A 13,432-nucleotide genomic window follows, 5' to 3' on the forward strand; every position below is an offset into this window, starting at 1 on the left:
GTGAGCCAGGATCATGCCACTGCACTCCAGCCTGGGTGACAAAGTGAAACCCTGTCTCTTAAAATAACAATAATATTTCTAGCATATGTCCCTGAGTTGACATTCATTGGCTCTCTTGGGTTCCATGGTCATCCTTGAACCAATTGCTTTGGCTAGAAGGGGGTGAAACATGCTGATTGGCTGGGCCTGGTCACGTGCTGAAATCTTCCATTCACAGAGACCAAGAAGTAGTGATTTCTCAAAGGAAAACCACAGTGCTATTACCAGAAGAAGGGAATTGATATTGGGTTGGTAGAAAAAAAAGTCATTATATCTGGGATGCTTTTCCAAAGTATGAATACCCAGATGCCACCCAGGGTCACAGAATTGGGGTTTCTGTATTTTTTTTTAGTTTTTGTTGTAAAAGCCTGCCTTAGTTAAGTGGTTAAATTATGCTTGCTAAGTTTAGCCATTGTGGGTGCAGAGCCCTACCATAGACAGAAGATTTTGAATTACAAATGGAAAACATATTTTCTACTTTCCCAAATATTGCTCTGTGCATGGTGGTTTCCTTATTAGTAATGCATAGAACCCACGCCTTGTGAGAACAAATTCGATGCCAAGACAAATGCTTTCTTGTTCCTGAATGTTGCTTTCCAGGCCAAGATAAGTTCAGAAAAGAGCAGTTATCCATTATGCGTCGGGGTGCCTCCTTTTCTTCTTCCTTATGTTTCTTGGGACTCTTAGAGTTTGTTTTTCTTGTAGTTTTCCAGACTTTCTTTTTTTCAGGTAGTTTTGTGAACAAATATTTTAATGTGAGCTTTTTTCACAGTCTTCATTCCTCTGTGTTCCGTTATTACTTTTTTTGTTTGTATCAGGCCCTTAAGTATTTAATCACAAATAAATCTGCTGCTGTCAGTTTTCTTTTGGAAAAACAGCAGCCTTCTTGGGAAAGACTATTAAAAGCTGTCTAGTATTGGGCTGACATAATGGGCTCTTAGAGCCAGCAGAAGAAAATTAATTTTCATATTATGTCTGTTCTCCTAAGAGCAGAGAAAAAACAACTTTTATTATTCACTAAGATTTTAAATTAATGCAAACCAGCTTCCTTTCTTGGAGGAAGACAATACTCAAATTAGTTTTGCTTTAGAAGGTTAATATGAGAGATTATGCTTGGTTGTCTGGTTTCCAGAGTTAAAGATCTTAAGAGAGATGAAGTCTGACAAACAGTGCTGTAGGAAAATTATAAAAGATTTGTCCTTTACAGTGAGACTCACGGCTGGTTTTCCTGGGAGGAGAAGTTCTACAGCAGCATGCAGAGATATACAGAGGCAGAGAGTGTAGAGATGTGGGAAAATAGAAACCCCACATCTAGTTGTCTCTAGAGCTAGGATCTTAGAGGACAGTAAGCAAGTATGAGTTAGCAATGAGGTGTGACTGCCCAAAGAGATTTACGAAGAAGGCTATTCACTGTAGGATTGCTTGTTGCCCTAGTCCATTTGGGCTGCTAAAACAAAATCCTTTCGACTGAGTAATTTATAAACAGAAATTTATTGTTCACACTTCTGGAGGCTGTAAAGTCCAAGATCCAGGTACCAGCAGATTTGGTGTCTGATGAGGGCCTGCTACAGCACCTTTTGTGTCCTCATGTGGTAGAAAAGGTGAATAAGCTCTCTTGGGATTCTGTTATACAGACACAAAAGGACATATTCATGAGAGCTGAGCCCTCGTGTCCTAATCGCCTCCCAAAGGCCCCATCTCTTAATACTACCACGTTGGGGATTAAGTTTCAACATATGAATTTTGGAGAGACACAGACATTAGATCATAGCACTTATAAAAGTTTTTTTTTTAAGTCCATCAGAAGTATGTCAATATGAATAATCTCTTAGAATTTATATTTCTGCTTGGAAAGATACCTAGCATATACATATGTGTTAAGTGAAGAGAAATAAGCAGCTTCTGGCGATAGCCAGGGTACAGAATTGCATATGTAATTTAAAAATTCTAGTGGCCAAATTATTGAGAAAGTTTCCTTTTTTCCCATACTGTCTTCAAAATCTAGTATGCATTTTACACTTATAGCACATCTCACTTCAGGCTAGCCACATTTTAAGTGCTGAGTAGCCACCTGTGGTTGGTGGCTGCCTTAGGACAGAGCAGATATGGATCCTCAGGTAGGAAACGTTTGAAAGAATGCACCAAGGTTTTTGTTTTGTTTAGCTTTGTTATTTAATGTAACTGTGAATCACAGTGAAATAGGGAAACATAAAAATTTTGTGGAATAAAGGGATATCAGGAGATGTTAGGAAAGAGAATCACTACAGAAACTTTATTAGTCTGAAAGGTAACCTGTGATTTGGTAGACTTTGATTAATTGTTCATATAAATCCCAAGTGAAATGTAGACTTGAGACTTGAATGTGAAATCATTGTGTCATGGATACATAATGTGATTGACATTTTTTATTTGGGGGAAATAAGATTCATATAGTTTTTTTGTTTTTTTGTTTTTTTAAAAAAACAAAGAGGGAATGATTTTCTGTGTCATATGTTGATAGGTCAGACAAAATGAAGAACTAAGAGTTGACCACTGGGTTTAGCATTATTGGTCCATTGGTGGCCTTTGACAAAACTGTTTCTTTGGAACAGTGAGGGTGAAAATCTCACTGGACTGGCTTCAAGAGATAATGAGAGGAGATGATTGGAAACAACGACTACAGTCAACTCTTTGCACAGGTGGAGGGAATGTGAGTTGAAAATTTGTTTTTGTTTGTATGTTTTTGTTTGGGTTTTTTAGCTCTTGTTTTATAAAGATGTTTATATCTGATGGAAGTGATCCAAAAAGGGAAAAAATCAATATGGGAGAGTAGTGTTTTACATGAAAAAGAAAATTCATGGAGGATATGACAGCTGCCTTACCACAGTTGACAGGGTTTCATTTACAAAGAAATTAGGCTCACTCGGCATATGGCCCTTGGCTAGACCTGAAATCACAGTGGGTATGAGGTATATTAAAACTGGTTGGACTCAGTACCTGAAAGTACATTCCTACAGTTAGTTCTGCCCCAAGCTAGGATGGCTTACTGTAAGGAGCAGTAAAAAATGTTATTATCGGAAATGTCAAAGCATCTATAAGTTAGACTAGTATTTCTCAACTATTTTATGTTTTCTGCACACTTTTGAATATAATTTTTGGGAACAAACTTGAAAAGACTCAAAACAATGCTGAGCAGGTCAGCACCAGTGATAGCACAATCACACTCCAGTGTAACAGTGACCTCAGAAGTATTCTCAATTAGTGTGCTGTTAGAAATAGGGTCTCTAGACCTATTGTCTCTAGACCAGACAGTCCGGAGCACAGTGGCGTGATCATAGCTCACTGTAACTTCGAACCTCTGGGCTCAAGTGATGCTCTCACCTGATCCTCCCACCTCAGCCTCCTGAGTAACTAGGACTAAACTTTTTGTAGACAAGGTCTCACTATGTTGCCCTTGCTGGTCTTGAACTCCTGGCCTCAGTTCCCCCTGCTTCGGCCTCTCAAAGTGCTGGGATTACAGGTGTGAGCCTCCACACGACCCTAGTGTGCTATTCTTTTGGTTGCTCCTCAACATTTCTTTGCTGCTTGAGCAGAAATTCCTAGTGCTTTGAGCAGGCTCTCTTTTATTCTAAAAGACAACATTCCTATGTATTCCAGTAAAAATATGCAGTCTCTTTTTGTTGCCCACTGGAGGTTATCCATTACTCCTGCCAGAAGAAGAAATTTGTGCCCTACTCTGCGCTCTGCACAGGGTCATTTAAACTGTTAAGCTCACAATCCAATCTGACAGACACTAAAAAAGGCATATCAGTTAGTAATCTGTTGCAGACAACAGAATCCACTCTACCCAATATAAGCAGTAAGGGATGTTGTACTGATCCAGGGAATTAAGTGTGTACAAGTTTGTTGGAAGGGCTGGAGAGCCGACTGCTGTCTGAGCTCCCAGGACCACTCTGTTCTGCTGTCTTCAGGAAAGGAAAGCTGCCGCATCATGTCAAGAAGCTGATCAATCAAGAAGCAAGGAGATCCTGGCACCTTGACTAACTACAGACCCATGCTGCCGACTCTGCCTGGATCCCCAGAGCCACCACTGCTACTTCAGAAAGCTGGAGAATCAAGAAGCTGCTGACTCTAGAACCATGATACTCTTGTCACTGTCTGTAAAACCAGAACAATGCTTATATCCTCTCTTTTGCACCACTGACTCAGTTCCAAGTCAGAGTCTCTCATGAGTGCATCTGACTTGTGGAATCTAAATCACGTCCAGAACTCTACTACAAAGGAGTTGAGAACATTTAAGTTTTAGCTTTCCAACTTTTGCACAGTGGAAGGGGACTGAAGTGGGTATTGAGCAAGTCATTCCACAGTATCTGCCACAGACAGTATTTTTCTCCAATCATAACAAAAATAAATGAGACATATTGATGGAAAGTTGGTCACATAGTAGCCAAAGGTTCCCTGTACATGGGTGTGCTGTTGCATAGCTGGCATGCCCATGTGGGAACCACCTTATTGGGTGAAGAGGTAAAAATGGGCAATCCAGCCTCAGTTGGGTGCTTGAGGTAGACTTTCCAACCATAAGTGTCAGCGATTGCATAGTTTCAGCACAAATGGAAGTAAGGACATAAATATCTGTCTTGCATTTTATGACCAGAGAAAAAAGTGTCTCTAGAAGCACTGCCAGCCACTAAGTATTCCCCAGTGTCAGTTCCATAGATCAAGCCCGGGTTGATGTTTTGCAGATGGATTGTCTTTGCTCCTGTGCACTTGTCACAGTCCTCACAAAGCAGCTGCCTATCAGAGACTGGTAAAGCAGTGGAGCAGGTTTCCCATCCGCCTGACTAAAGCCAGCAGTGACCTCATTCAAGAAAGGCCAGATCAACCTGACATGTTCTCCCTATGCCAGACGAATACCTGCCTTAGCCTCCTGAGTAGCTGGGATTACAGGAGCATGCCACCATGCCTGGCTAATTTTTTTGTTATCTTTAGTAGAGACGGGGTTTCACCATGTTGGCCAGGCTGATCTCGAACTCCTGACCTCGTGATCCGCCCACCTTGGCCTTCCGAAGTATGGTCTCTTTGAGACCTCTTAATTAGGCCTCATCAGGCCTGGCTGTGGCTGCCACAGCTAGGGGAGCCCAGTCGAGCTCCCAGACAAGTTCTCTGGACTGCTGTTACTTCCTTGTGGCCTTGAGGAGAGGCCTAACTGTGAAGTAGGCTACGTTTCTCTCTACCTCCATCTCTTTGGACTCATAATACTAAGACTCAAGGCACACCTAGGGCTTGGGAGTCACAACACAGGAGGGGAAAACTGTAAACTGTGTGCTTCTCAGGGCTGTCCTCTGTCAAATAGGAAACCACATACATACAAAAACACTTTCCATAGGAGAACTGCTCAGGGATACCCCCATGTCCTCTCCTACAGGTCCACTGCCCCCAGAAAGCACTTCCACACTGAATCATCCTTTCTCCTACCTTATTCTGGGATATTTATCCTAGAGCCTTCTGAAATCTGCCTATTGCAGTATTGGACGTTTTGAGAGAAGCTTTGTTCTCTTGGTGTCTTATTTTTCATCTGCTCCCTGTGGAAACCTGATCTGTACTCCTCATCTGTCCGGTGCTGCGTTTCTCATAGGTCCTGTGCTCGGTAGTCTTGCATGTTCATCTTTGACTAGAAGCAGCTCTCCTGGGTCGTGTACCCACTAATAATGTGGGTGGAACCACCTAGACTCCCTCCCGCTCTATCTGAGCAATGGTTGGATCTTCTCTTTTAGAACCTGAGCTTGAGGTCTGGCCTCAGGAAGTGGGGAGGGTACAGAAGCAGTAGGAATGTGCCATCTCTTCTTACCAGTCCCACATTTTCCCATCAGTCCACCCAATTACCTGTTCCTGTGCTGTATCTGACCCCCCTGGCAGGGCTTCCCTTGAATTTCCAGCCTTCACCCCCACTTCAAGGCAAGACCCTCTGTGGGTCAGTGTGATTTCCCCTGACTTGTAGTCTTTCTTTGGGCAGGTTCACATGTACTTTTGGTTAATATCTTTCAAGAGATCTAAGTGGCTCCTAAGACATACTTATCCCTCTCTTCTTCAGCCTGTCCTCAGAAGGTCACCCTTTCTCATTAGAAAGCTGGGACAGTGAAAAAAACAAAGAGGGAACCCTCTGCCAAGTCCCACCCTTGCTGCCAGTCCTCACCCCTCCAAATCAAGCCTGGCCAGGCCTTCAGGACACGCCAGGTCATTTCCCTCACATTACGGGAGATGTACAGACTCTCAATGATCTCTTTCAGTTTGTCTACACTTAATCATATGTAGCAGATCTCAGAGTTCTAGCATGGAATTTGGCCACTCTCTTGTTTCAATAAGTTGTCTTTATATATTGAGCTATTTTTTGCTTTTTTCCTAGAGTGCCAAGGAGTTATTATGCAAATGAGTACTTACTCCACTTCTTTCCAAGAAGTTCTTCAACTGCTATATATTTTAAATAGTGAGAAGATAAAGGTAAAATATGTCAGAAGGTTAAGAGGAACATATTTTTTAAAATTAGAAAGTTAGGACTAGAAAAGATAAAAGAAATGAGTAAATAGATTAAAATTAACAGTGAGGAGACAAAATCTGAACAGTTTTAGAAGTCAGAGAATTTGATGAAAGTGCAAAAAAAGAACTCTAAGAGTAACGATGCCAAAAAGATAAAATTAAATGAGAGAAAAGGTTTAAAAAGGCTAGCCTTTCAAATTTTTAATAAAATCTTAAAGTTTAAAGGGCTAGAAAAGAACATGGTAAGATAATTAAATCATCTTAGTATTTAAAGATTAAAAAGCTAAAAAGAATGTAAACAATGTATTCTGTAATATTCCAAATTAAGGATGCATGTATATTTACTGATGTAGAAAGATGTGTAAGACCTCTAGTTTAGAAAGAAAAGCAAGTCACAGAACATTGTATAGTCCAAGCGTATATATTGCATAAAGGTTTGCAGATAGAGAAAAGAATGGTAGGAAGCCAAACTACTGAAGTGGTAGGGAGCTACTGAAGAGGAAAGGGAGTGGGGTGGGGGGTGTCATGGACATCGTCAGCCAGTCCCCTTAGGTGCCCTCAGGTCCCTTTACCGTTTCTGTGCTCTTTTTCCCATCCTGAGTGCCATGCACCGCCAGCCCTCACAATGGTAACTCGCAGGTGAACTGCCTTTGCACCCTTGCACCCCACATGTGTAGACAGCTTGAAGGATTCACTTGGGCCTTTACATCACCCCATCCTCACTCCCACCCTGTGGCCCTCAGCCAGTAACTGAGGCTGCAGGAAATGGAAGCCTCGCCCCTTGTCTCAGGTGGGGACAACTCTGAGATGTCAGTTGCCTTGAGCAGCAGTGTCCAAAATATAAAGCAACCTACATATGTGACTTTACATTTTCTAGTAGCCACATTAAAATTCATTTTAATAAGGGGCTAGGCATGGCATTCATGCTTGTAATCCCAACACTTTGGGAAGTCGAGGTGGGAGGATCACTTGAGCTGAGGAGTTTCAGACCACTGTGGGCAACATAGGGAGACCCATGTCTATACAAATAATGTTTTAAAAAATTAGCCAGATGTGATGGTGCACACCTGTGGTCCCAGCTACTCAGGAGGTTGAGGCAGGAGTATCTCCTGAGTCTGGGAAGTCAAAGCTATAGTGAGTTATGATTGTGCCACTGCACTCCATCCTGGGTGGCAGAGTGAGACCCTGTCTCAAAAAAATTTTTTTTAATTAAAATCATTCTAACAGTGTATTTATATCATTCAACATGTAATCAGTGTGAAAAACTATTAATGAGATGTTTTGAATTCATTTTTATTTGTACTAAGTCTTCAAAACCCAGTGTGTAACACACTTCACTTGGGATGTCCCTATTTCAGTTGCTCAGTAGTGGCTAGTGGCTACCCAGTCGGACAGCTCAGCGTCAGTCACATGGAAGCTGTTCCTCCGCAGGGCTCTGCCTGAAACTGAAGTCTCACTGGGTTTCTTCTCGTTCCCTGTCCTGCTTCCTCCACTCCCTCATCGGTATCTTGAGAGCACTGCTTAATAAATCTTTTGCATACAAGTATTATCTTTGTAATTAAAATAAATCTGGGAGGTTCAAAAGAAAAAAAAAAGAAAATGTCTCTCATCCTGAAGCCCTGATTTGTTATTTATTTGTTGGTGTATCACTAAGGTAGCCGTAAACTCTAGTGACACTGGGTTTTAGAAGACTCAGGGCTCCTTTGGGTAAAGAACAACTGATAACAGAACCCTGGTTTCTTGCGCTTTGTCATGAGTGGGTGACTTGAGCCTTTGATGTCTATCTAGTTGCTGCCAAGATAAGTGGCCTGAAGCCAGCCTAGGGTGAGATTACCTAGAAGTCTGGGTCAGGTATGCAGCATGTGGCCTGCTGGGCCCAGGAAAGGCAATGGGGGAAGCCAGGTCATCATTTATAAGAGGAATACCAGAGGGACCTGACAAGAGAGAAGACAAAGGGGACAGGTAGGAGGTTATGTGAGTCTTGAATCCTTCCTGCATTAGGCACAGGTCATTAGAGTGACTTTTTTGAGGTTTTTTGTTTGTTTGTTTGTTTGTTTTGTTTTGTTTTGTTTGAGACAGTCTTGCTCTGTCACCCAGGCTGAAGTGCAGTGGTGCAATCTCGGCTCACTGCAACCTCTACCTCCTGGGTTCAAGTGATTCCTTTGCCTCAGCCTCCCAGATAGCTAGGATTACAGGCGTGAGCCACTATGCCCGGCCTGGTTTGTTGTTGTTGTTGTTGTTGTTGTTGTTGTTGTTTGTTTTTTAATATGCCTGCAGCCTTGGGTCTAACTGGCACCACTATAGAACCTTCAGAGTGGCCAGTGCCTATCTGATTCCAAAGCCCCAACTTGTGTGGAGTCGCTTTTCTTGGTCTCCAGCCTCACAGCACTCCCTTCTCATGCATAAAATCTTTCTGAGCCATTAGGCCTTTTGTCTTTTCTCAGTCTTTCTTTCTTTCTTTTTTAAATTCACTCGCGACTCCAGCCAGAGATGTCACGTTTCTTAAGAAGACATTATAAAGAGTCCCCTTTGACCAAAGTGTTACATAAAATTGCTTTTTATTTTTCCATTTCCAAGTAATTGGATTTTGCTGGCTTGTTTGTCTGTCAGTTGAGGTAGAGGTGAGTGAAGAGCCCTGCTAATTGGCTCAGAAAATAATTCCAGTCAGAAGGAGTGTGATGCCTGCATTTCCTAACAAAGTAGACCCATCATCCCACAACTGCCTTTTCCACCTTCCTTGATGCATCATCGGAGAAAGGAGCAGACACATCTCAGGAATGCATTTCTCAGTTTATTCCCATGAACAAGCCATTTATTAATTCAGCAAGCATTTACTGCTTATATATACTATCTGCTATTACTCTTGAACTGTGGGCTTTAGTCCTTGTCTCCAGTGTTGTTGCCAGTCTAGGCCCTTTTTATGGCTTTTCTTGGATTTTTAAATTAGAAGATAAACCAAGTGCTCCTGGACTACCCCAGTAATGGCCATGAAGTCCTACCACCGGTGATTCTCCAGAAGCATTCTAGACATAGCTTCCCTTACCAAATTCATACTGCCTTTCTCTAAACAAGTTTGTGATTGTTCAAATGCTCACTGGGCCTCCTTTTACTTTATACTCCGCGGACTTAACTGATTGCTGAGGGATGTAACAGGACTTGGATGGTTCCATGGCCCAATGCTTCCTTGATGCAGTAAGGTCATATGCGGTCTTGGTGGGGCCCCTGGGTCTTGAGGGTGCTTCAGTGTCACCCTCCTCCTTGCTTACCAGCGGGGCTGCCTTTGGGAGGAGGGTAAAGCAGGCCAGGGATTGGCCTGCCGTTCTTCTCTGTCTCTTAGTGCCTTTCCCAACTCTTCTGTTTCAGGACAGCTGCCCAGCCTCCAGGCCCACTGATGGACCCGTTAACGAAGGTGCCTTGTGGGAGTCAGATAGCACAAACCATTCTATGGAAAGCAAAGTCGTCTCTCTCCTTCGGCATCCAGCCCCTTCAGACATGGCCAACGAAAGACCCTGAACTAGAGTCCCAGGTCAACCTGTAAGTAAGTAAAAGAAGCATCATCTCAGTTTGGGTTTATGTTCACTATAGCTTGAAATCCCTTAATGTTTAGGAAGAATATACTTTTTACTTCTGGGGGGATAGTGGGGAGGGAGAGAGGAGTGGATGTTTGGTTGGGAGACTGCATTTCTGTTCTTATTTGTGTATTTAGTAATATTCATTGAGCACCTACTCGTCCAGGTCCTGTGTCAGACATTATGAGCAAAATAGATTCAGTTCTTGTCATCAGTGGGCTTGCAGCACATAGGACAGATAGCCATTACTCAAATAATCACACAAATAAATACTAGCAATTTGTAATAAGCTCTATGAAATGTGCTGCCTTGATTCAATAAACATTTACAGAATGCCTTCTCTGTGCCAGCAACCTACTGGGGATATTAGAGAATAATACATTTTACCTACCTTTTGAATATAAATAGTATATGGAAGCAAAAACATTACAATGTAATACAAAATAAATTTTAATAATAACTAGAATAGAATTAATACATCAGTAGACTCTAAGGCCTATAGGGTGGTAACTGTGTTTTTATATTTACTCCTGAATCCCCAGGCCTTTGTTATGGTGTATGATAATACTCGGATGAATGAATAAGTAAATGAATAAAGATGATACAAGAGAGGGGTACTTAGTTTTCCAGGGGGAATCAAAGGCAGCCAGATGCAACAACACGGTTGACTTCAAAACAAATGAGATGCTTCATCAATTCAATGCAACAAATATTTGTATGCTTGTTTACTGTACCCAGTGCTTTTGTGAAGCGAGTTCCTAGATAAGGACATGGATCAGAATCACCAGTGGGACTTTAAAAATCATTTATGCCTGAGACCTGCCCCTTGAGATTCTGACTCAGTGGATCTGAGGTGGGTGAAGGAAGACACTTTGTCTGCCCTCAAGGAACTCCCTACTTATCCAGGGAGACAGACAAGTCACCAGGTCACACCAGTGATGCTGGAGAAGCAGCGTGAATAACGTGCTAAAGGAAGCCATCACCTGCTGGAGGACAGGGAAGAGAAGGGATAACAGTTGAGCTTGGCCTTGTAGGATGAGCATTGATCAGGCAAGAGAGAGGGAAGAAGACCTCTTTAAAACAAGGATGCCACAAAGCAAAGGCTCACATGCATGAGGCTGTGTTGATAGGCAGTAAACCAACAGTTGTTAAACCGGGTTGCACGTGAAAATTACCCAGGGTAGCTTTAAAAACATAGAAGTCTGCCCTGCCCCTCCAAAATTCTGAGATCTAGGGTGGGACATAAGAACTCGTATTTTTACAAAGCTCCCCAGGTGATTCTCACGTGTGGTAGACGTTGAGAAACGCTGCTCTTAAGAAATGTAACCACAAATAAGTGAATAAAAAATAATTATGAAGCACCTTATATGCCTAGCTCAGGGGCCTGAACCTTACATCTTAAGCAATGGGCACCATTGACAGCTCTTATGCACTGAAGAAGTGATGCAGTTTGGAACGTAAACGGGTCACATCGTTTAGATAAAATCGTGATGGTCAGTTGATTCTTAAGGGAAACTAGCGAAGCCAGGAGTCACTGTTGGCTTTTCAGAGCTTCCGCACCTTCCAGAAACTGCCTCTCAGGTGAATAAGATATTGAATGTCTCCTTGATCTGAAATGGGAATTTCAAATTTCAGGCGATACTGAATTATCTGAGCAAGATGGACCCGGTAGTCTCGCGGGTCCTCGGTGACCCCAGCGCACTGCAGAGGACGGGAGGGAACCCAGGGCGTCAGTTCCAAAGGTGGGGCGGGTGGGTAGCCCCGTCTTCCCTCTTTATCACTAATTAGGAAAAGGAATTTGTGTCCGGGGCGGGGGGTTGGAGGTAACCTGAGGACGCTCAGCGCTGGAGCTCCGAGCAGGAGTTAAAGTACCCGCAGTGGAGCTGGCCCGCTGCCTTTCCAGACTGCAAGGCCCGCAGTGCACCGCGCGGGTGACGTGTAACAGGGGCGGGCGGGACCGCTGGAGAGCCTATGAGCACAGCGCAAGCACCCCGAGGGGCCGCCTTCCGGCCCTATTGGTGAATCCGATTAGGGGTGGGACCGAGCCGTGGTGATTGGCGGCCGGAGGGATGGCAAAGCTGCCACGCGCACGGGGGTGCAGGCTGCGGGACTGCGATCGCTGCCGGATAGGACCAGGTAGTGTGCACACCTCCGTCCTTAGGAAGGAACCCAGCGGCAGATTCTGGACTTGCGTGGCCTCACCCGCTGATCTCACCCAGCGGCATGTAGAAATGGGTGGAGTCAGGCCTTGCTCTGGACCCCAGACTTAGGGACCGGACTTGAAACCAAATTGCAAGGCAGCCAGAGATTGGGTTCCCTGGAAAGATGCGTCTTTAAGAACCACTACCATTTTGTGGGCCGCCTATTCATTAACTCCTTCACTGAACAAATATTTATTGATCACCTGTGTACCAGGCACCTTGCCCAAGCATCCTAAATGCATTTTCTCATTTATTCACAAAACCCCAATGAGATAGGTGCTGTTATCTCCACTTTACAGGTAAGGGTGCGGAGGCCCAGCCTTTTCTGGGACGCACCGCTTGGAAGTGACAGAACAGGGATTGGACTTCGGTCTGTCTGGTCCAGTGCCCATCTCTTAACCTCAGCGCACTCAGGAGTGCAATCAGGAGAAAAATATTTATGGGATGGCAGCGTCCACAGGGCTTCTCGGTGCTGTCCAGTGAAGTATATATAACAACAGTCCAGTGCTGAACACCAATGAAGTTGACCAAGCACCAAGTTGGGTCTTACACTAGGTACCACAGTACCTCAAAGACCTACTTTGAAGTTGGTGCTTCTTAGGGAGTGGTGGGCAATGAGCCTGTGAAGGGAGACAAAAATCAACCCATTGGGGAGTGGGAGCCATTGGTCTTGACTCTCTAGAGGAGGGCATAGCATGCTCAGATTTGAAAGTTGGAAAGATAATTGGCGTCAGTAGGCAACTGGATTTCAGTAGGATGAGGCTGGTGGCAGGGAGACCTATCAGAGCAGAAGATGTGAAGGTAGATGTTAAGAGTTCTGATGAGCAACAGGAATGGTGGGATTGATTTGGGAAGTATTTTGAGAAAGATTAGAGTGGATCTGGTAAGCGTATGGGTTGTGGGGTGAGGAAGTGAGACTCAGAGCTTCAACTCAGGGAGCTGAGTAGTTGGTGTTGTCATTAATAAGAGGGCACTGAGATGAGAAAGCACAAAATATAAGATAGAATAAAGCAAAGGTCATGTAGAAAATGATATCGGGGCCAGGAGCGGTGGCTTATGCCCTTAATCCCAGGACTTTGAGAGGCCAAGGTGGGTGGATCACCTGAGGTC

General features: G+C 43.7%; 1 protein-coding gene and 1 long non-coding RNA gene across 13 annotated transcripts in view; one reads left to right on the forward strand and one right to left on the reverse strand.

Annotated features, from left to right (window-relative positions):
- GARNL3 (GTPase activating Rap/RanGAP domain like 3) overlaps positions 1–13,432 on the forward strand; it is a 169,048-nt gene that overhangs the window by 8,551 nt on the left and 147,065 nt on the right. For 5 of the 12 annotated variants that reach the window (XM_047423963.1, XM_005252268.3, XM_047423967.1 and 2 more), the window contains one exon: positions 9,916–10,086. In XM_047423963.1, coding sequence (XP_047279919.1) covers positions 9,944–10,086 — 143 coding nt within the window. In that variant the 5' untranslated portion in view covers positions 9,916–9,943. Of the gene's footprint in view, positions 1–2,630; positions 2,729–9,915; positions 10,091–12,150; positions 12,258–13,432 lie in introns of those variants that run through there. The other 7 variants (XM_011519086.4, XM_011519087.3, XM_047423964.1 and 4 more) reach the window with 6 other exon arrangements.
- Positions 9,331–12,027, reverse strand: LOC124902274 (uncharacterized). Its single transcript, XR_007061793.1, has 2 exons — positions 11,517–12,027; positions 9,331–10,084 (listed from the first exon to the last, which is right to left on the reverse strand). It is a non-coding gene; the product is annotated as an uncharacterized LOC124902274 (long non-coding RNA).

The sequence above is a fragment of the Homo sapiens genome, chromosome 9 (genome assembly GCF_000001405.40).
Source record: "Homo sapiens chromosome 9, GRCh38.p14 Primary Assembly".
In the NCBI taxonomy this organism is placed as follows: Eukaryota; Metazoa; Chordata; class Mammalia; order Primates; family Hominidae; genus Homo; species Homo sapiens.